The following is a 24,402-nucleotide window of genomic DNA, read 5'->3' on the forward strand; positions in this document are numbered from 1 at the left end:
AAATGCTTACACTAATCATTTGGTTCCCAGGTTAAGTTTCACCTAATTGTAAAACCTTTCTTTTACCATTCTAGCTAATGCAGCCACCAAACATCTTTCACATGGATAGTTCCAGTTTGATCTTATCTCATGTCTCTTTTCAAATTTCTTTCACAGCACAGATCACAATGTGGAATTATATTATTTACGTACTTGTGATTTAATTTTCATCTCACTGCACAAAATTTAAACACCATAAAGATGGCAATGATACATTTCTTAGTCACCATTGTTGTCACAAGAGATTATAATAGTGGCAACATATGACATCTCAATAAACAGAAAATAAAACATCACAGCGATTTAGATCCTAAGTGTTCCCTTATTATATTATCTACATGCGTTAGAGACTCTCTATAAAAAGTCAGATAAATCCTTTACTGCATGTATTGTGAAAATGTTTTCAAGGACTTTTCACTAATTACTCTGAAGTCTTTATGAAAATGTCTCAGCAATAAGAAAACTTATGTTTATTTTAAATATCTATGATTTTATTTTTATGAATGTTATATTGTGAAAATATTGTTCTCTTTTATTTACCTACTAAAGGCAGCAAACTTGTGCTGGGATCATAGGGATGAATAGAGTCATGTGGTATACATATCTGTATGCCATTCTTACCTGTCTTAATTTTTTCTCAACTGAATTCCATTTATCTAACATCTATAATGATACTATAAATATTATATACTTATTACAAAGGTCTTAAATCTCATATGCAATTAAAGGTGAATAATATTATTTCCTAACAATGAATGACCATTTCAAAATTTCTAGAATTATAAAACAATACTTTTGAAGCTAACTCAAGAAATAGACATACAGATTACATTTTATTACAAGAAGTACTCTTTTAAGCGTTAAGTTTAAGGGTAAGTTTCCACATCCTTTTTTTCTTCAACATCCCCCTTAGACAGACATGTTATTTGTCTTCTGTTTCACAGATAAGAAAGCCAAGAAAAATATACAGGTTAAGTAAAAGGCCCTAAGACAAATAATTTATGAGTTATACAAATTAATCAAGTCTTTCACTTAAATGTCCAAATTCAGTGATATTCAACCATTCCCTAGAGCCATCACTGAGACATCAACTTACGCATTCCACTAAGGACCCATGAAGCTACAGGAGATCTATTTACTTTTCAAGGGTGAAGATACTGATATTATCAAGAATCACAAAATCAAGAACTACTTATCTTTGTCTCTGTCTTTAAAAAGCAACCAGTGCTTACAGTTGCCTCTAGCATAGATGGATCATAATTCTATTTGAGAATTATTTTCTAAGCTTAAACCCTTAATTGTGGTACTATGCATTCAGTGTAGATTTTTGTTGTTGTTGTTCAATGCTTATCACCAGACACCTGTCTCAAAGCCTGAGGGAGTAATAGCTCAGGAAGACTCTATGAGCCATCTGCCACTGACATTCTCAGATTGTACTGGGTCAACTTCCCTGGGAATTATATAAGGAGTCTTCTTTGACCTACCCTTTCAGGCCAATCAGATCACATTGGTAACTGCACAGGATTTTAGAGTGGGCCACTTCTTAAAAAGGAAATGTCACATTGAATGTGAAGCTGGTGACTGGCATATAAGTTACTTGAGGAAACAAAAAAAATTTTTAGATTTTAACATGAGCAATTTAGCTGTGGAATTTCTGTGTTTTGATGAAAACATAGTTTTCCTTCAGATGATAATCTCATGTTGTCTTGATGCACTCATTGTGTCAAGTTTAAGAATTGTTCACTATCGCTCTTTAGGAAGAAGTTTTGTCAATTGTCTTTAATTAATTGTGTAATGACAATGACCTCAAAAAAAGAATACTGATATTCAGGGTAATCTTACAGTAGGCATCCTATTTGCCATTGAAATTCAAGAAGTTTGTGGAATGACTTTTTTAAAAAGGTTGTTTTAATCTTAGAAAACAACCTCTTTAAAAAAATGTGTTTCCAGTTTAATTTAAAATTCAACTTCTCTAATTATATATCTGTACTTCTTATTAGCATTAAATGAGTTGGTAGTCTCTACTCTTCCTGAAAATGAGTCTTCAATGATTTCATTTAAGATAAAAAGGAAATATATATTCAGACTTTTACTATTAAATCTCAATGCCCTCAAGCAAATGGTCTGGCTGAAAGGTGGTACAAACTAGTAAAGATGCCCTGGAGAAGCTTATTAGAGGATATCAATTAATATGAATTGCCAGATTTTCATTGCTCGATATGTCACTACTTGCACAGTCAGTACTATTGAATTATTAATAGCACAATGCCCTAGGACTTGCCTCAATTATTTCTATGCAGGCTTAAAGAAAAGTTTAAAGACAAATAAATACATATCCTGGGTACTGCATTTCCTGTAGCTAGAAGTTTGATTATATCTATTTCTAGATTCTGTTTTTAGCTAGGAATTATGAGGTGACACTGAGGTGTGTTCATTATTCGATATTATAAATGATGGGCAACAAGCTGGTGTAATTTATTTGTGACCAACTGCAATGGCATCTCTCACAGAATAGAAAGGTCTGAATCAAAATTCCAGAGCAATTCCTTGAAAGTCAACCTAGGGGTACATCCTGAAGGACTTTTTATATTTCCAAAAGAAAAAAAGTATCACTTCATTCCTTGCTATGGGAAAAGTTGAAGAGATGCAGGCTAGTATTCCAAAATAAATCAATGTACCAGTGTTATTGGATCTACCATGTTTCTCATTAAAATATTTTCTTAGTAAGTAGAGAAGAGCTTTGTGGTCAGCACATAGTAGATGTGGTTTGTTAACATCAGTTTTATTTTGTGAGAATAAATTGATTTATAGTAGGGTCAGGGCAAGTGAAGAAAAACTTTTTGAATATCTAATCGCCTCACCTGAATCACTGTCTAAATGGAACTGGGCATATTATCTTTTTGTAATGATTTATTGCTATCTGTTTTATGTAATTTTAAGAATTTAATGATAAAACAGTACAACACTAATGTCCATTAGAAAATATTCTCAGTAACACATTTTAAATGTATTTTTACAATATTTGGTTGCCCTATATAAATGTTGGGTCCTTGAAATGTCATTATATTTCTGTATTTGATAGGCAAAGGCATTTTTGAAAGATATTCATGTTAAACACAGCAGTCTATTGGTTAAAAATTTATAAATAAAAAAATTTTGACCAGGCTTAGAAGCTCATAAACTGTCTAAATGATGGTAGTTTGAAAATAAATGAAGCAATATATTACAGATGCTAAAGGAGAAGCTAATGAAGGAGCTAAAGTTATGCAATTTAAAAGAATTAATGTTTGACCTTCTGTAATAGTGAATGTGTTTAGAATTACTAAAATGTAAAAACAATTTAGGACCGGGTGCAGTGGCTCACACCTGTAATCCCAGCATTTTGGGAGGCCGAGGTGGGTGGATCACGAGGTCAGGAGATTGACACCATCCTGGCCAACATGGAGAAACCCCGTCTCTACTAAAATACAAAAAATTAGCCTGGCATGGTGGTGTTCACCTGTAGCCCCAGCTACTCGGGAGGCTGAGGCAGGGCAATCAGTTGAACCCGGGAGGCAGAGATTGCACTGAGCCGAGATTGCGCCACTGCACTCCAGCCTGACAACAGAGTGAGACTGCATCTCAAAAAATAATAATAATACAATAAAAAATAAAAATAAAAAAATTAGAAACTGATGAACCCAGATAATTAACTATAAAAGAGTGTATTGAATTGTAGGTACCCCAGTGTCCTAATATGAGAGAGAAAAAATTAGATAGAGAATGAATGTGAGAGTGACAAGAGCAAGACAGAGTGAGAGATTTACATAAAGAAATGCCGTTTGATAGTGGCGTAGTCTTAACTCGAAATGTCTTAATTATTGTCTTTTCTGAAATGTAATTATATTGACAATTAAGTGATCTTTCAGAGCATAAATAAAACTGTTTGATAAGAAATAATGTTGATATTAGACAACAATGATACCTATTTTCAATTTAAAAATGTACAAATACATTAAAGGAAGCCTTAATTTAACACTGAACAAATCATAGATTTATAGAATTTTTAAGTGAATAATTCATCTAAGTTTATTTTTAATATTTAATGGGAAACAGTTACAACTTTGCCACACCGAGAAGTCTTCGAAGTTTCAGTTCAATTATTTTCCCCACTGATTCAGCCCTTCTCAGTGAGCTACTGAAAATGTGAAGGGAAAGTGTGTCAGGCTGTCTCTGCCACTGCGCTCAGTGCCCTGCCCTTAGCGGTGTTCAAAACTGATGATGAGCAAGGAAAAGAAAACAGGAGGAATTGAAATTGATTCGACATAGAGGAACTTTCCTTGCTGATCTTAACATGTCACAGCTGTATTTTGTTAGTGAAATATTCAAGTGAAAGTTTCAAGGTAACGATCCAAAGGGGTTGTGTGAGAATTGAAAGTTCCCAACCCCATCACATTAACTGAGCTGTAGATTCTACTATCATTCTTGTTTGTGTGTTTATTTTATTTACACAAAATTTGATTAGGCAAAATTACTGAAGTATGTTATTTTATTTACACAAAATTTGATTAGGCAAAATTACTGAAGTATGTTGATTTAGAAGCTAACTTGAGACTAATGTACAAATTTGGTCCAGAAGGTTTTCTGAGATACAATATGCCTGTTGGGTAAAACATGACAGGTAATCTCTCCAGACTGGACTGAAGTGGGATTTGTAGTTTTATAATTCTGCAGGGAAAGTAATGTAACAGCTGTGAAATAACGTGATTCTTAAATGCCATTTTCTTACAAGTAGTAAGGATTTTTAATTGATGTACTTAGCAGGTATTAAGCAACCCTCTACACTCCTGTCCAGTGGGAAGAGGTTGTCATGTGCCCCATGCTGTTATCCCATATGGTAGAACTGCCCATGTTCAAAATTCCTTCCGTTTGGATCTGATAAAAATCCCTGACTAATTTAGACTTGCAATTGAAAGTGTTGTAAAAAATGTGAACGATATATCATACCTGAGTTAAGCGCCCCCTCTCTTCGTCTCCTACTTTTCTCTAGTTCACATAAGCATAGCTAGCCACATTCTGTTTCAGGATTAAGGCATTGATTATTTCATTTCATGTGTTAGTTAAGATCAGATGCATTTTTAAATGTATTTTATTTTTTATTTTTATTATTTTCAAATGGACAAATTAAATGGTAGCTATTTACAGCATACAACATGGTGTTTTAAAGTATATAACATTTCAGAATGACTAAATATAGCTAATTAACATATGCATCCTTTTTTGTTGTTCAAAAGTCCTTTTTCACAGTGAAAACTTTATGAGTGAAATAACATTTCTACCTTACGTTCAGGGGTTATTCTGATAGGATTAAAGAGAATAATAGAACAGGTTATAAATAGTAAAGTCTAATATAGCAGTATATTTGGTAGCAGTATTGATATATCTATTAGGATAAATTGCCTTAAAAAATAACTGAGATAGTAGCAGTGAGGTGTGGTAGAAAAAAGTCAGGATTTGAAGACAGGTTATCTGAGTTCAAAGCTGAGATCTAAAATTTACAAGCTTTGTGTTTCACTTAAACTCTCCAAACTTTAGTATTCCTAAAGGAAAGTGGGGTTAATGTGAATAAAATAATCATTGCTGTTCAGAGAAAATTCTGTATAACACTGAATAAACATCATTTAACATCTATCACAGTTCCTAATAAATGTTGATTACTTAATAAGTATTCCATGAATAAAGAGTTTTGAAAATTCTACATGAAGGTAGACACATTAGTTGCTCCTATGATTAACTACCTGGAATTAAAATAACTTGAAGATAAAAGGACCACACCAAAAATAAATACATAAAACCTCCTTTTTGTCCAAAGTTGTAAGAGCAGATAAAAACTCAGGCCTTCTTTCAACTGATGTCTGGCGCATAAGTAGTAAGTTATATTTGAACATTGCCATTGCCTTGAACTAAAGAATTAAAATATAGTTTTGTCAGATTGAGAGAGAAGAAGCACTTTTCTTGTTTTAAAAATTTGCCTTTGTGCGTGAAGGGAGCAGATGGTAGAGCAGAGGGAGGAGATGGTACACATATATTATCAAGTGCTGAGCACATAAATCAATAGTCTTTTAAAATCCAAGTTTAACTTAAGAATGACTTGATGAGATGCAGTATAAGTTATGTCATCTCAAACATAAAATATGTTGTTAATAGAATAATCATGTTGGTGCTGTTTTGTAAAAAAAAAAAAAAAACCATAACAGACAAATTAATGCAATATTTAAATTATAAACATACTACCCAGGTAGTTAATGTTATGTAGAAGTTAATGAGATTGTGATTTAGAGGAATGATTATTTCTACAAATTAATCTTCATTTTTGAGGACTGAGAAATCTTTACTAAATGCATGAAGGGAAAACTGTCTATCATGGCTGAATTTCACCCATGCTTGACATTATTACATCCTGCCACTAGAGCTCATTGTTGCTCTTTCTATAGATTCCAAGTTCAATTTATTTTTCTTTCTTTCTTCTTTTTACTTTCTCTTTTTTTCTTGCTTGCTCACATCTCTCTGTTAGCTGGCTATAATCCACTCTGAAAAATATCACATTCTAGACGTATATTGATATTTATGAATATGTATAATCCAATATCTAGAATCATCTTTTAAGACCGTGATAGGATGTCCAAACCCAACAGCCCAAGCCAAGTTAAAACTATGATCTAAATTCCCGAACTAGCTACAAGATGAATTTTCAATGAATTCATTACCTCTTTCATTTTCCCAATAACCCTTTTCAATTAAAAACATAACTCAAAACTGTGCATGCCTGTTTCACACATGCACACACAACTCAAGTTGTTCCCAGAATGCATTTATGGGAGCACACTTCATTATAGCATAGTCTGGGGCACTCTAACCTGCATCAGCATAAGCTGATAAAAGAGCAGCTTATGGAATAATTTGCACAAACATCAGTCTGGTAAACAGATGTCTCCTAATTAAATATATTATATCATGTTTATCAAACATGTTAAAGTGTTCATTTTCACGTATTCTCCAAGCTTGATCAATTTAATGAAAAATACTAAAGGTTCCTATAAGGTATAATTTGGACTATGTAAATAGTTTTTCTATTGTAATTTCCCCCCAAATCTATGCCTTTCCATAGTCATTACAAATTATTTGAAGTCTTTTTTTCTTAAGGCCGATACTGAGACCAAATGCCTTTATTTTTAATTCCTCCTTGTAAATAGGAAACAAATGAAGTACCCCACCACTACCAACATACACACACACAACAAATTAAAACTTTGTTACTTTCAAGTTGTCTTTGGAAACAATATTTAGAACAATATGTAAAAAAGGTTTACAGGCTGGGCGCAGTGGCTCAAGCCTGTAATCCCAGAACTTTGGGAGGTCGAGGCGGGTGGATCACTTGAGGTCAGGAGTTTGAGAACAGCCTGGCCAACATAGCGAAACCTCATCTCTGCTAAAAATACAAAAAATTAGCCGGGTGTGGTGGTGCATGCCTGTAATCCCAGCTACTCAGGAGACTGAGGTGAGAGCATCACTTGAATCCAGGAGGCTGAGGTTGCAGTGAGCAGAGATCGCTCCAGTGCACTCCAGCCTGGGCAACTGACAGGACTGTCTCAAAAAACAAACAAACAAAACAAAACGAAACAAAATACACACGCGTGCACACAAACACACCACACAATAAAACAGTTTATGTTACGCCTGGAGGGCTTCTCCCAATGTGTAGAGAAGATGCCAATACCACCTAAGGCAGCAAGAACAAGGTACTTTCTATCTTAAGTAGTAATAGGAGTAGGGAGTGGTTAATAAAAAATACAAATAAAAAAATAAAATTAAAACAAACAGGCCGTTTACCAAGAGACATTTGTGAGTTCCTTCTACTTTCTATTTTATCCTGGCTTCCTCCCTATGTGTCAAATCACTGCATGCTCCTGTTGCTCTCCTAATCAGTCTCAAACTGTTGGCAACCTAACTCCAACACGCAGTCAAACAAATAGTAATCCAGTCAAACAAACAAGAATTGCCCAAAATTCATATCGTGTGTTTGTTGTGTGACTTTTATGAATTCTATTAGATAATAGAAGGCCCAAAAAATGTCCAGAATAATTTTGGGTTGTCTCTATTTTCACTAAATCAGTGGTCATTATGTTTTCATGGTCACACAAACCTCCACATATCTTACTAAACTATAGATGCTTTTTTCCAAGGAAAACTCCTACTTAAAATTTTCTAACGAACCCAACAGCCCAAGCCAAGTTAAAACTATGATCTAAATTCCCGAACTAGCTACAAGATGAATTTTCAATGAATTCATTACCTCTTTCATTTTCCCAATAACCCTTTTCAATTAAAAACATAACTCAAAACTGTGCATGCCTGTTTCACACATGCACACACAACTCAAGTTGTTCCCAGAATGCATTTATGGGAGCACACTTCATTATAGCACAGTCTGGGACACTCTAACCTGCATCTTCCTATAGTTTGGTCCCACTTCACTGAAAACACTAGCTTTATGCTCCAAGCCCACCCACCCCCATTATTAGCTAATTGAGACTCTGCTTTTCTGATAACCAAAGCAAAATATTTCCTTCTGTTCTACTCTCTGCTTCAGAGAGTTAAAAATTTGAGCATTCCTACCAAATAAGCATTTCTCTTATAAATTCCAAACTCCCTGGATATACAATAACGGATAGTTAAATTGCTTATGTGCTCTTATGATGTGTCAGACTATGAAAAAGAATTGGACTGACAATTTATGTTCATATTTCAATAACTGGTATAGGTAACTTTCCTATTTTTTGCCTAGTTAATTTTATATGCTGAGAGAGTTCCTGGAGATATAGTCAGAGTACAGGCTAAGAGAAAGAAGATGGACAATGTAATTTGAATGAGAAAGATGTGCAGTGATACTTTTCCTTTCAAATTACCTGACAATTCAAGAGACATGGGTTATATATTAAAGAAAGAATGTAGTCCAAGATAGCATATGCCTGCCTGGGACCATCTTAGATAAATGGACAGCTTTCTATACCGTGGAAGTTAGATATTATATTCAAGATAAAGGGTTTGACTGACAGATCAGTATCTGAGAGAATCCTGGCATATCAGTATCTTCATGCAAATAAGCACAGCCATTCTGAAGTCATTAGCTGAACTTTTGGTTGGGGGTGGGCCTGAACAACTAAAAGCAGGAGTGATGAAGAGTTTAACATTTCCACAAAAATCGACAGATCACAAAAGTTACATGTTGAAAAAGTATAAAACGTATTTGAAACAACTGTCAATGAAAATTATTGAAATATTTATCTCCTGAGATTTGTTACATGAAATATAAAATTTTCCAAACTTTTAAAATAAGATAGGCACCCTAACAGTGCATTGTAATGGGAATGGTATTTACACGATATATTTTAAAAACTAAATGTTTAGCAAATATGAATAATGGTCATCATTAATGGATGATAGTACTAGAATTTCTTTTTCTTTTTTTACTAATTTATTTCTTGTATATTTTTGCTTTGCATAGCATATTTCAATAATAATGCACATTATGCAAAATAGTGTTCACTATTCTGAGTAATTAGCAGATTTAAATTAGCCTCTACTATAGAGAACACACTAGTCTTTAAGCCTTGCTATTGTTCATTGCAGTATTTTATTTTGATCACCCCACAAAGTTTTAGTTGATGCTTTGCATATTTGAAATTTACAAGTATTTTAAAATTGTATAAATTTTGTTTCACTTTGAAATTTGTTAAACACATAAACAGTCACCAACATCAATGAAGATAATATGGTATGAACATTTCTTATGATACTCTGACCTACTTTTTATCCTAGGACTAGGCTTGAAGCCTGGTAACTAGAAATTACTAGTCTCACCGGAACAATTCTTTATAAAGGTAATTGATGTCTATATAAATACAATGTGCATACTTACGCAAGCAGCCATTAACCTTTAAACCTTATTCAGCTCCTCCTGAGCACAATCATTTGCCCAGTGTTATCAAGTTAACATCAACTGAATCATTAGCAACTTGCAGACTTTGTGGCAGGGTTCACCGTGGAAGGATTCACCTGTGACAGTATTTGTCTTTTGGTGTCTATGATCTTTTAATCTGTAGCTTATTTTCCTATGGTTCAAGAACCCAAAACTACATGCTCTTATATAGCAAAGTTGTAAAAAAAATTGGGTGGTATTCCACTTTCTTTGTATAGAAGACGCTAATTTCCCCAGTTGTTGCATAGAATTGTTTCAAATGTCTAGATACTGTAGCCTCACAGTACTCTTATTTGAAATATGCAGATGAAATTAGAAAGAAGTACTCTTCATTTTCTATGTCATGTTACATGTAGGAACATGATTTATGTTTTTGTGTTTGAAGAAGGGTTTTACAATTATGTAGTAATCCATGTAATAAACATGAGGAATTAGGTATTGATCGGCAGACTGACTATCAAGCTCTATTCTTTGATTACAAGGGATGAAAGTGTTTATTGTACAATATATTTTAAAATGTTCCTGTGTGGATTATCTGCTTTTGTCTCTTGTTTTTAGCCATTTATTTTTCCATCTTAAGTCACCTTTTCAGAAAAGCTCAACCAATTCCTAGGCTATCACACTTTAATGACAAATTGAAATAACCAAATCCAATGAATACATTGAATCACATACTAAAATGATACCTCGATTTCTTGAATAAAATAATGAAGTGCCCTCACATATCTCTATAGCTATGTCAAACTTCTTTTTAAAATCTCTTGATTATTCTCTTCTTCTTATGCCTTCCCTTATACTTCCTCCTCAACCAATTGAATTGGCCACTCAATTTATAATGAGTTGATCAGAAACCTGGCTGTCATACATGAATTTACTCATCTTCACATTCTCACCTCCAAAGAACCAGTATTAAAATTGAATCTTTGTCCTCCTTACCCTTAGTCTTTTTCTAGTATTGGCTGCCATCCTCTTCCCTTTGGTTTACTGCAATAACATAAATTGTCTGTAGTCCCCCAAAATTCCAAACATGAATGGACATTTTACTGAAAAGGAAACCAGATGGCAAATAAGTACATGAAAATATGTTTAACATTATCTACCAGGAGAGAAATATAAAAACCACAGTATGTGACTAAATCTGTCATAATGACTAAATAAAAAGCTGCGAGCAAAACAAAAGTAACTTCATTAAAAAATGGGCAAAGGACATGAACAGATACTTGTCGAAATAAGACATACAAGTGACTAACAAACATATGAAAAACTGCTCAGCATCACTAATCAGAGAAATACAAATCAAAACCACAATGAGATACCATCTCACACCAGTCAGAATGGCTACACTAAAAAATAAAAATAGGGCCTGGGTGGTGGCTCACGCCTGTAATCCCAGCACTTTGGGAGGCTGAGGCGGGTGGATAACGAGGTCAGGAGATTGAGACCATCCTGGCTAACACGATGAAACCCCATCTCTACTAAAAATACAAAAAAATTAGCTGGGTGTGGTGGCGGGTGCCTGTAGTCCCAGCTACTAGGGAGGCTGAGGCAGGAGAATGGCGTGAACCCAGGAGGCGGAGCATGCAGTGAGCCGAGATCGGGCCACTGTACTCTAGCCTGGGCGCCAGAGCGAGACTCTGCCTCAAGAAAATAAAAAAATAAAAAAAATATATAAAAATAAATGTAAAACAGGTGCTGGAGAAGCTGCAGAGAAAAGGGACTGCTTATACACTGTTGCTAGGAATGTAAATTAGTTCAGCCACTGTAGAAAGCAGTCTGGAGATTTCTCAAAGAATTTAACACAGAGTTACCATTTGACCCAGCAATCCCATTACTGGGTATATAACCAAAGGAAAATAGGTTATTCTATCAAAAAGACACTCATATGCATTCTTATGTTCATTGTTGCCCTATTAACAATAGCAAAAACATGGGATCAACCAGGTGTTCCTCAATGGTATATTGAATAAAGAAAATGTGGTGCATATGCACCATGGAATACTATGAAGCCATAAAGATAATGAAGTTATGTTTTTTGCAACAACATGGATGCAGATGGAGGCCACAATCCTAAGTGAATTAATACAGGCACTGAAAACCAAATTGAACTTGTTCTCACTTATAAGTGGGAGCTAAACTTGGAACACACGTGGACGTAATTATGGGAGCAAAGATACTACAAACTACTTGAAGGGAGAGGCAGGCAGGGGGCATAGGTTGAAAAACTACTAATTGGGTACTATGCTTACTACCTGGTTGTTGGGATTCATACCCCCAAGCCTCAACATCATTCAATATTCTCATGTAACATGCTTGCACATTTGGCCCCATATCTAAAAAAAAGCTGTAATGTTTAAAAATGAATAAATAAAATTAATTAGGAAATATCCTAAAAGCCCTATAAAAACAATTTTCATGCTATATTGTTTTTGGTAGATTGTAAGGTCTTTGAATATTTTCTGTGACAGTGGTCACTGTACGTTTGCACCCTAATGAAATAAAAGTGAATCTTTGGCACAACCATCCTGAAAAAATAGATTAAAAGCTATGAAGGCTGGGGGCGGTGGCTCACACCTGTAATCCTAGCACTTTGGGAGGCCGAGGCGGGCGGATCACGAGGTCAGGAGCTCGAGAATATCCTGGCTAAAACGGTGAAACCCCGTCTCTACTAAAAAATACAAAAAAAAAAAAAATTACCCGGGCGTGGTGGTGGGCGCCTGTAGTCCCAGCTACACAGGAGGCTGAGGCAGGAGAATGGCGTGAACCTGGGAGGCAGAGTTTCATACCCCCCCACATCTGATGTTTCAAAATGATATTTGTGCACATATTTAGTTGTTATTTTCCCTGGGTGATAAAATTAACTGTATATGGGTTTTTTTTTTTTCATATTTAGGACATTTGACATATTTTAAAAGGAATTAATCATTTTTTTCTCCAAACCTGTTCCTTTTGCATATTATTTATTACAGTTAAGGATATCATCATCCATCTAACTGCTCAAGCCGGTAAATACAAGGTTATCCTAGAAACCTTCTGCCTTGTTTAGCTCTCACATTTATTTGGTAAACAGGCCTGGATGATTGTGTCATCTAAGTGTTCCACACTTCTCTCTCCTCTTTTAAATACCTAAAGATAGTACATTAGGTCATCATAACCTGGACTATTAATTTATCTGACTCCACTCAATCCCTTGTCCATACTTCAATCAAATGATTTTTCTCAAGTAGAATCTAACCATCTCATAATTTCTCGACAAAATATTTCAAAGTATTTCCTTCCATCTCTTCTCTCCATGCCTTTGAAAAATGATAAACTCTATATTTCTCAGCATGTCATTCAATGGCTTGCATGATTCAGCGTCCATCTCACTCTATGGGTTCATATTTCTGTATTTTTCTTCATGCATCTTATGCTCCAGAAATTAATTGATATTAATTGATGCTGCTATAAGACCTTAAACTTATCCATGCCTTTATATTTTTGCATATGTGTCTTTCTCATTTTTCATTTCTTGTCCTGGAACATTCTCCCTCACTCCCTGCCTCCCTTCTTCCCTGCCCTTTATCTTTAATATATTAGACTGATACATAGTATCTCTCTCTCTCTCTCTCTCTCTATATATATATATATATAAACTATATTAGACTTTAATACATATATAATATATTAGACTTTAATGAATAATCCTCAAAGCAGAAATATACCTTCTATGAGAAAACTTTCTTTTACTACACCCTACTCTTAAATTGATTTACATATGTCTCTGTATGTGTGTATATCACAAAACTATAAGAAAACAAATGTTGCAAGAAATCAGACATACTCAGAAAAACAAGAGGAAATAATGGATACAAAGTTGATGTGGAGGAACAAAATGCAGAGCATCTCCTGGTATTTTAAGAAAATTAGAAATAGAACTGAAGGAAGTGTTATCCATGCTTCCCTGGCATGCGCAGGATTATTTACAGTAATACTTAAATCAAAAAGTTCAGATGCAGTATATTATAGTCCTTTTCTTAACAATGTCAATCATTTTAAGTTAGTAATGGAGTAAAAAAAACAGTCAGGTTTCAATAGCAGGGCAAAACATTGAAAGGACTTGAATAAAAAATGCTCATTATAGCATGTGCTGTAAAAATATGTGGTTCAGATTTCATTTTATGTAATTTTTGAAGAAAATAGAACATAGCTTGCATAATGCATTTCATAGCAATAATATTATTCATGATAGATGAATAAAACTAGAAAATTTGGTTTATTGCTGTGTGTCGTGTCTGAGTAATGGCTAAATGTACTAGTGCTTTCAATTAGTATCATTGCTTTATACAGAGAGTCAAGTGCAGCCAAATTGCATAGAGAGATGAACTGACAATTTGTCAATTCATTGGCTCAATTACATACCCAAAGAACCACTTTGAGTTTTAGATTCAGGGTGGATTATTTACACTGAACCAATTAACCAGTTCAATGATAAATGTCTACTCTGTGAACGTAACTTGGAAGTAAATATATATCTACAAATCATTTAAAACTATTGGCACTATCTCAAACATCTATGTGCCTACCTTCATACCTAACATAATAAAGAGGAAGAAAGTTACCATGTATTTGCTTATGGCTACTTGATCTGAATTCTTTACATTTAGAAAAGTGTTACATTCCTCAATGATGCACTTTAGAAATGGAATGAGGAGCCCTTAACAACAAGGAAATAAAATTGTATCTTTTATTTCCAAAAAATACGTAATTTCTCATACTAGTTTATGGTTTCCTAGAATACAAAGACTCTGTGCATATATTTTTCTAAGTAATCAATTATTGTTATTGGAATTGAAGTTGAATTCATCAATAAACAAAAATAAGATATTTTATGACATATTATAGAAAGTTACATTCAGTTACAAGAAGGATGAAATATTTCAATAAGAAATCCCCACATCATACAGAGACCACCACATATTAGCAGATATTTACTTGATTTACTTAATTTTTTACTTGATACGTTATATTTCCTTTTACATGCTAATTTCCTCGCTATATTTTTCAATCAGTACTTCTTAAGTATTTCAGGAATGTAAATCAGAATACACACATAAAAATAATCAATATTATGGGATTTTTGTTTTTTTAAAAAGACAACTCCAATTTGATCAAAATAAGACTCTTTTAGAAATGTGGTTCTAGAAACTGAGCCAAGGCCAAAAATAGAAACCTGCAAGGTTTGGGAAATGCAATATCTAAAAAAGCCTGAGGTTGCTCTAAATGCCTATGTTGGAAAATATATATGCTTCTGTATCTTTATCCTACAAGGTTCATTTGTTCATTATTCCCCAGATTCAAGCCTTTGCAAAAAATGTTTCCTCTGCCTCAGTAATGTAGTCATAACAATTTTTGTGATTTCGCTGAGACCTCTGACCTTTATGAAGCCATCCTTTAGCATTCTAGCCAGTACTGAGCTTTATTAATTCGGTACCTGTAAAGCACAGGGTGAGATATAAATACAGTGACGTGCTTTTTCAAACTATTTTCTGATATTCATATTGTTGTATTGTACCATAATTTATAGCATCATTTGTTTTGCCTTATTAATTTGGTTATAATTTCCTGAAAGGATTGACTGCACTTTTATTTCTTTTATATTTCCATAATGATTAGCAATGCCTGATCTTTGCTATCATATCACTCAGTTATACTTTTTGAATAGGTCTTACCACTTTCTGAAGTGATCTTGACCATCCATTTATGTACACACTTTTGTTCTATCTCTCTGCACTAAAACGTGAACTTAAAGAATTCAGGGACCTTGTCTTTCCTGATCCCAGCAGTCTCTCAATTCCTAGAACACTTTCTGCTTCTGAGTAGATCCTCAAATATTTGCGAATGAATGAACAGAGCTCTGATTATGTAACAATGGCCAATACTTAACGGTTTACTTGAGCAAGGACTAAGGAGTAAGTGTTATGAAAGTCCAGGCACTGTGAAGGATTACAAAGAGATCCCAGAGAATGGACCAGTAGACGCTTTCAAGCAAATTCTTTCCTTGATCAGTTCAGTGACTTGACAAAATCACTGACACTCTCTTAGCCTCAGCGTCTTGATTTCTAAAGTGAGGCTAATAAATAATTGTATTTCTTCCCTGTATAATCTTGAAAGATGGGTATGTGAAAATATTTGTCAGCTAATACACTATAGCCATACAGTGCTATGATATTGGTACCTGTGCTCCCTGAATTGGTTTCTCTCAGATTAATTATTTTCAGAACTTTAATAGATGTTAGTAAGTAGACTCTCTCTGCATGTATTAATAAATGTATAATTATTCTCTAGAGGTTTATAAAAGGTAATGTACATATATGTAAAAATGTCAATTTAGAGTTAAAATTAATATTCACTTTTCTGTCCATAGATGGCAGCAATGCACCAACTCTTACATAACTTAATAACATTGTGAAAAAGTTATCTGTATACTAAATACCATGTTCTCTTAATAGTACATGAAAATTATTTAAGGGGAACCATAGCATCAATAGAATATGAACAAAAATATATTTTAAAAATCCTCTGCTGCCAGTCTCAGGCTTTTATTCAGTGAACTCAAGGGTTGCTTCAGTTTGCTCAGCGTGGGAGTCTTTGTCATTTTAACTGGATGTCACAATAGATATTGATAAAAATAAACCTCTTTTTAGATAATAGCAATTCAAAACAACACCAAGAAAATGCCCCGTCTTTCAGTAGTGGCTATTAAAAATGGATTAATACATGCACGCAGCCCTCTTTTATTTGTTTAAAAACATTAAAATGACTAGAAAGCGCTTAAATAAAGAAACCTCTTGTACAGAAAGAATAAGGGAAAATAAAGAAAGGAGATTTCCAGATATAGACCTGAAGACAAAGCAAACCAAGAGAAATGGGCCCATGGGAGACAAGAAAAGCTACAAGATGAGATTGAACTGGAGAGAAATATAATAAATCTAAACAATGCCTCAGAATGCCTATCGGAGTACAAAACGTATTTTGGTCCGTTATTGAATTTTGTGCCTAAAAAATTCCCTATCACATGTTGAATCAGATTGTTTTTGTTTTCCCTTCCTAAATTAAAAGTTCATTATAAATACTTTGAAAAATTATACCTATGTTGAGAAGGCAAGTTGTGAAAGAAATATATTTCCATTTTAAATCAAGAGAAAGAAAGTGGTACAAAATTTCTGTGATGCAACATTTAAAATCTGAAAATAATCTCTTGGTATTGAAAATATGTTAGCACTTAATTTAAATGATTTGGTACATACATTTAAAGAAAAAGACATTTAATATATATATAAAGAGAAAGGGAGAGTGGAAAGGCACACCACACAACTGTCCAATATAACTAAAGATAAATGAAGCCCACTGGAGGGAAAGGACTGTTGCATTTCAGCATCTCACAAGGTTCAAAGCAAAATTCCAAAACAGCTTACAGATGTGGGATTTATTCATATCAAGGGTAGGTCTTTTAATACTGACTTATTTAGCTCTTTAACTCTAAAAAATTCCTAAATCCTGTAAATCCTCCAGGGCCTACTATCTAATTATATTGCATATCCCGCATTTCTACCCAATAAAAACTGCCTTATTATTTAATGACTTGACTTTGGAGTCTTTGAAGACTAAATTCTAGTCTGCTGGAAATGAATTTTAAAATGTTTTCTTTTTGCCATAGTTTTAAATTTGGGCCTATATTTTCCATCTCATCATTCCACAATTTGCCATAATCACATGTTTTTCTAAGTAAATATATTTTCACCAATCCAGCAGTACAGATTGAGAAATTATTCTTCAATATTTTGTATTGTTTATTTTTTTTGAGACAGAGTCTCACTCTGTCACCCAGGTTGGAGTGCAATAGCGTGATCTCGGCTCACTGCAACCTCTGCCTCCCAGGTTCAAGTGATTGTCCTGCCTCAGCCTCCCGAGTAGCTGGGACTACGGGCACATGCCACCACGCCCGCCTCATTTTCGTATTTTTAGTAGAGACGGGGTTTCTCCATGTTAGCCAGGATGGTCTCGATCTCCTGACCTCATGATCCACCTGCCTTGGCCTCCCAAAGTGCTGGGATTACAGGCGTGAGCCACCGTGCCCGGCCCAATATTTTTTCTCTTATTGTGAAACTCATTTCTAGACCAAAAAAATATATTCACTTCATGTTATTAGCTCAACATGTATATATTTATATTAACACATAGAAAATAAAATCAACAGTAAGTTCCAAGTTTTTTGCATTATCCTCCCAGAGGAAATAAAACTAACAGGATCAGAAAAATGTGCAGAGAAAGTGTATTTGAAACCAGATTTGGCATAAATTTCAAACTCTCTATTGGTCATATGCTTGGGTTTTAAATTTTTATAAGTTTGAGAGAGGAATCACTCTGATTCTCCTCATATATGCATTAAAACAAATGTGTATTCGAAATAGATTTATATATTTTTTCAAATCAATCTATAGATTAAGATGTATCAAAAATATCTCAATTACTAATACATGAAAAGGTGATGATGGCAGTGAATATTTGTAGAAAGGATAAACTACTTTCTATTTTTGAAAACTAATCTTTTGAAAAGTAAAAGCTTTAAAAATTTTATTATTTCTTTCTTGAATACAACAGTTACTCAGTTGAATTAAAACATAAGGTTCATATTGAACATTGTGTGAAATGTTAATTTTTAAAAATTATCTCCCAAAATGATGTCGAGGGAAAATAACCTATATTGGTTATATCTACATTGAAATATTACTTGGAGGGGTATAGTTACATAGGGAATTATTTTTAGAAAAGTGATTTTATTATGATCATTTACTGTTATTTTGAGTCCCCTTGTTATTTTGAGTGAAAAGATAAGCACAATCTTTATTAAAATAACCAACACAAAAATATTAGTGGAATTTTATAATTGTCCTTTGTCACTTTAAAAACAGTTGGAAAGGTTGAGACTCTACTGTTAAGGAAAAATACAAAACTGTTTCAAGTCAATTTGTACAGCTGGTTTCAAAATCTCTGGCAAAATTAAAATCGCCAATTCAAATGACAAAATGTGTTTTCTGAATGAGTTGTTAATCACTAGAAAGTAAATAGTACAGCTATCTAAAGGAAATTATTTCTGAGACAGATATGTCAAGTAATTTAATCCCCAAATATGTGTGTTATTTTATCATCTTAGAGATGAAAAAATAATCTCTCTTGTTTAACGAATAGTAAGCGATACGGTAAAGAAGGTGCCATAATATGTATGACCAAATGTCCTTGTGCTAGAGTTAGAGTAGGGATCAGACTGCAAATACAATTATTACATACATGTTTAAATGTCTTCTCTCCATTAACAGAAATGATGAAGCTCCTAGAAAGCTAAATGATTAAAAATGTTGGCGGTGGGTGGAGGACAGATTCTAATCTGAAATGCACAGTGTGTATGGCTGCATATCTCAAAAAGCTGTTACAGTGATAGAAAAACAGAAACTGTGAGTTGTACAGTGTTTTTCGAAAGCCAGGGTGGTTGAAATTAAAATGCCAGGAATCAGCCATATGATATGTGGTGCACCTTCTCAGGAGGAAAAATCGGAGGAGGTATTCTAGCATAAAAAAGTCACCATTACAGTATGAGGTATTAAAAATTGCCAATTAAAAGCATATAAAATTATAGTTCATATGGTTCTGTCTTTGAGAATTTAGTTGTAGACTATGGTTCTTTCGCAAATATCTAACTGTTACCAATAGAAGGCAGGAATATTCTGACTCTGAAATTAAGGTCTATTTTTGCATTCTCATTTGTTGCTGTATGCATAAATGTTACAATTTTGTTATGACGAAGATGCTGACATAAAATACCTATATAATAAAATCGTGATATTATATATGTTGAATACACACACACACACTATAGTGTGTATATATATATACACACATATATATAATATATTTTAACATTGTAGGGAATAATACTATATATATATATATATATACTATACATAGTATATATATATTTTTTTTTGAGACGGAGTCTCGCTCTGTCGCCCACGCTGGAATGCAGTGGCGCGATCTCCGCTCACTGCAAGCTCCGCCTCCCGGGTTCACGCCCTTCTCCTGCCTCAGCCTCCAGAGTAGCTGGGACTACAGACACCCACCACCACGCCCGGCTAGTTTTTTGTATTTTTGGTAGAGACGGGGTTTCACCGTGTTAGCCAGGATGGTCCGCGCCCGGCCGGAATAATACTATATTTCAAAGCCTTTCATTGCTCCTACCCATGTGTTAGCTTTTTATTATATTAAATTTACTGCTAATTAATAAGTGCTTATTGATAATTGAACTGAATATTTTGTCCTAAAAATGAAAGCCCTTCCTAGCCGTACTGCATAGTCAACAGATGTGTAACAGAGACCCTTCTTTTCTAATTCCATATCCCCTCCTATAATTATAAGACAATTAAAACTGTTACTGGGTTCATAACCAAAACACATCAACAGATCAGGAGTTTTATTGTCATAACCCCTTAGGATATAGATGGCACCTTTCCATGTTGCTAGTGCAACTACTCGATGTTTCAACACATTTGTTACACAAACTGTTTGAATTTGAGGTTCCAGTCTTCACTTATTTTTACTATTGTTATCTCTTATTCCATGGTTAAACATCTACATGACATTTTATTTAATGGTTTTTCAGTGAAAAGTTATTTACTACAATGGATTCCTTGCCAAGTGGAGGTTATTCCTGATAATTGCTGAAGATTCCTTGTTACCACCACCATGAATTTTAATGCTGTCTAATGAGTCAATTCTAGTGATGAAGGAAACCCCAGGGCAGAGTGAAGACTGTCACTTTTGGAATAGCAGAGGGCATAAATGATCCCTCTAAGCCCAAGGGTTGGAATAGAGAAGATGAGGTAGAAGGAGGTTTAACAATGGAGACTCTTGCATAAACTAAGTGGCAAATACCTTGACAGGTTACAATTACAATATTTCTGCCAAGATGGAGTATGACATCAGAACTCTAGTTAGTTTGCATGATGAAAACATAAAAGTAGCCTCCGTGATATAGAAGATATACAAGAGAATTTTGTTTAGCTAAATCACAAAGCACGAATAAGATAAATGTTTTTTTTTCTTCTACTGACAGACATTTTGAAAAACATCATTTATTGGGCATTTACTGTGTGTTAGAGCCATTACATATAGTACTAATAATAACATTGTGAGGCAGAAATATGTATTTCCTTTTGAATGTTAAGAAACTAAGATTAAGAGAGATTCAATAAATTGGCCTTCTAGGCATAGCTCAAAGGCACAATGCTCCAACTGGGAATTGGGCTTCTCTGACTACAGAGTTAACTATTTTCATGATGCCACAACTTTATCTTGTTTTACAGCGTGTTTTTATAGAGGTATGACCCAACTATGTGGAAACAAAGAGTCAAAAGACATAATACGGATCTAATGGGCTTTTATTTGCAATTCATGAAATGGTTAAGCCTTCGTTCTGCAAAACAGAATTAGAGCTCCACTGAGCAGTAGCAGAGCAATGGGTTTTATAAGATGGGAACAAGGCAACAGAACATCAGGAAAAGGCTCCTTGGTTAACATCAGGTTACTTCAAGCTACTTTTTCCTAAGGGTTCAAGCAAAGGGGTGTTCCTTATTACAATGACTCAGGTAAACTGGAATCTCCTGTTTTCAGGAAAAAACAAACTGGTCTGTGTGGAGATTTATTTGCTGCCTTCCAATTTCAGTTTCATTGTGTGGCATTTAGCATGAGTGACTCCATTTTGGTTTGGTCTGATCTGTTGGGACCCGGTGTAGGAACTCAGTCCAAAACAATGGGCTCCCATAATTTTTGTTTAACCATTGACAGGAAACGCAGCCACTGGCATTTGCCTGGAGCAGTAGTGTCAAGGCTGATTAACAGAGGAGAGAGAAGTTGAGTTGTGTCAGGAAGTAGAAGAGTTTTGTCAGGCAAAAAAAAGATGGTCAGAGAGTTCCATCATAGGGAATATAAAAGGCCCCGGCATGTGAGACACTCTTGAAAAATTCAGCATGAATGGATCACAGGGAATAACAGAGGGCTGTTGACAGAGAGGAAGCTACAGAGATAGATTAGAACCAGAATTTTAAGAGCTTTATGTGGCAGTGGAGGGGAAGGGGCCAAATAATTAATATTAAATAAAATCACTAAAATACAAACAAAAAATAGTCACCAGACATATAATAAAATATTTTGAGTGTGTCTGCTTTCGGGAATCACAAATAGTTAAATATTTTTAATATACATGGAATCTTGGATTTAGGTACTTCAGTATTTCTCAGTTCATAACTGAGAATATTGAGAAATTCGTATAGATAGTGGATTCTCCCAATGTCTTAAAGTTACTCCTGAAAGGACTTGGACTAGAATGCAGATCTTATAACTTTATAATTTTTCATCATGCTATGAATTCTGCCTTCTTTTCTGAGATAGGCTAAAAATAAGTACTTGAATGCAATATAAACATGGTCTTTGAAGTATTATATCCATGATACAGACTAAAATAACTAAAGTCTGATCTTCCCACTGTCCCAGAATTATAATTTTTTCTTTGCCCCAAAGATGGAACTGTATTAAGTCCAGAGATATTTCCCTGTCTGCTCATCACCATTTTTTTTCTCTTCCAGGAAAACTTGAAGGGTCATATTTTAGAATAACTGCCTTTCTCCTAACAGGGAAGCCAAAAGGCAGTGAATGTCTGCCCTGTAATTCTCTCAAATAGGCTTCTGGATTTCTGGCTATGGTTTCTGTTTATATTTTAGTGTTTCTTCCATGAACTTTCGTGGGTCAATCACTAATATCTAGGGAATGCATAGGTTCATAGGTTAATTCGGGTAAAGTAGTGAATGTATTCTCTATATGGTAGTAGTGACTGTATTCTCTATATGGTTTATAGGCCTGTACCTTCCAGCAGACAGTGAGATCATTGAGAGAAGAGATGGGCCTACATCTTGTTATTGTATTTCTAGCATAGTACAGAATAGATACTCATTAACAAAATCTGCTAACTAATGGGTACACAGTCATGAATAAGACAAACACCACCAAAGAAAAATTACACTGGATGATGTTAGACTAGGAAGACTTTCTTCAAGACTACTGCAATAGGGTAGAGAGACTGAACTGTGTAAGCAAAAACTAGGGAGGTTTTTAAGTACTATGTTGAGCTAGTGGGAAAACACAGGAAGACAGCCTGAGGGGGGACGTTAGTTACTGTGATCAGGCCCTTTGTGCTGACTAATTGCTGACTATCAAAGTTTGGTTTCTACCCTCCCATAGAGACTGGGAGATAGGGAATCTATCATTGTTGATGATTACATTTCAAAGAGATGGCTCTTGAGTCCTAGAGAAAAATTCCTGGGTTGGAAAACTGGCAGGAGACTGGAAGAAGATTTACATCTTAAAGGAGTAGAGAAAAAAATTTACAATGGAAAGCTTTTTAAAGTAAGTGCTCCAAGGAAGTAGAAGCCATATAGGTCTGTATCAGGGAGAAATCTATTGGCTGTCAGTTAAGCTAAGAGGAATGTTAAGGCGCTGTTGGTCAATGTGATCTGTAGCCCTTTTGGCATTGAATCTTGATTGAACATTTTAAAATTTTATGTATTGAATAGTGAATATTAAATATAAGTGAGCAAATTACAAACATTAAATAAAATAGATGATTTTTATGAAAGAAAAATAGTAATGAGATAAGTTACATTGTGGATAAATCTGCAAATTTCAAAGTCGCCTATTTGAGGATTCCTAAAAATAGATTGAGAAGAAAATCTAACTAAATATTCACTCCCACCATTTATTAAAGTGGGACGTGAGTTTAAAGGTTGTGTAACTCTAAAAGCTCATGATATCTGGAATGCAAGTTTGCCAAACCAATGTGTAGGATATGTAATGAATTAAATAAGTATTATAGGATTAAGATCAACTATACAAATCCATGATGTTCAAGAAAAATAAAGTTTCTGTATTTTTCCATAATTAATCTTATACTTCACAGGCATGGGAGGGAGGAGGAAGATCAAATCTGATAAAGTTGATAATCTACATTAGATTCAATACTTTACACTTCCCCTTTGACATTCAGGTTCTTGAGGTTCTTGAAAGACTCAGTCTTTCAAAGTCTCATCTTTTCTCTCTGTTTCCTTTTTTTTTTTTTTTTTTTGAGATGAAGTCGCCCATGCTGGAGTGCAGTTGTGCCATCGTGGCTCACTGCAACCTCCACCTCCCGGGTTCAAGCAATTCTCCTGCCTCAGCCTCCTGAGTAGCTAGGAATACCGGCGCATGCCAATACGCCCAGCTAC

At 34.4% G+C, this 24,402-nt stretch overlaps 1 annotated feature.

Annotated features, from left to right (window-relative positions):
- Positions 22,908–23,883: an enhancer, noted in NCBI's record as "OCT4-NANOG hESC enhancer chr13:71204047-71205022 (GRCh37/hg19 assembly coordinates)". NCBI's record gives its function as "activates a minimal SCP1, AML or CMV promoter by ChIP-STARR-seq in naive H9 embryonic stem cells {active_cell/tissue: H9 hESC(naive)}" and the evidence as "EXISTENCE:reporter gene assay evidence [ECO:0000049][PMID:30033119]".

The sequence above is a fragment of the Homo sapiens genome, chromosome 13, assembly GCF_000001405.40.
Source record: "Homo sapiens chromosome 13, GRCh38.p14 Primary Assembly".
In the NCBI taxonomy this organism is placed as follows: domain Eukaryota; kingdom Metazoa; phylum Chordata; class Mammalia; order Primates; family Hominidae; genus Homo; species Homo sapiens.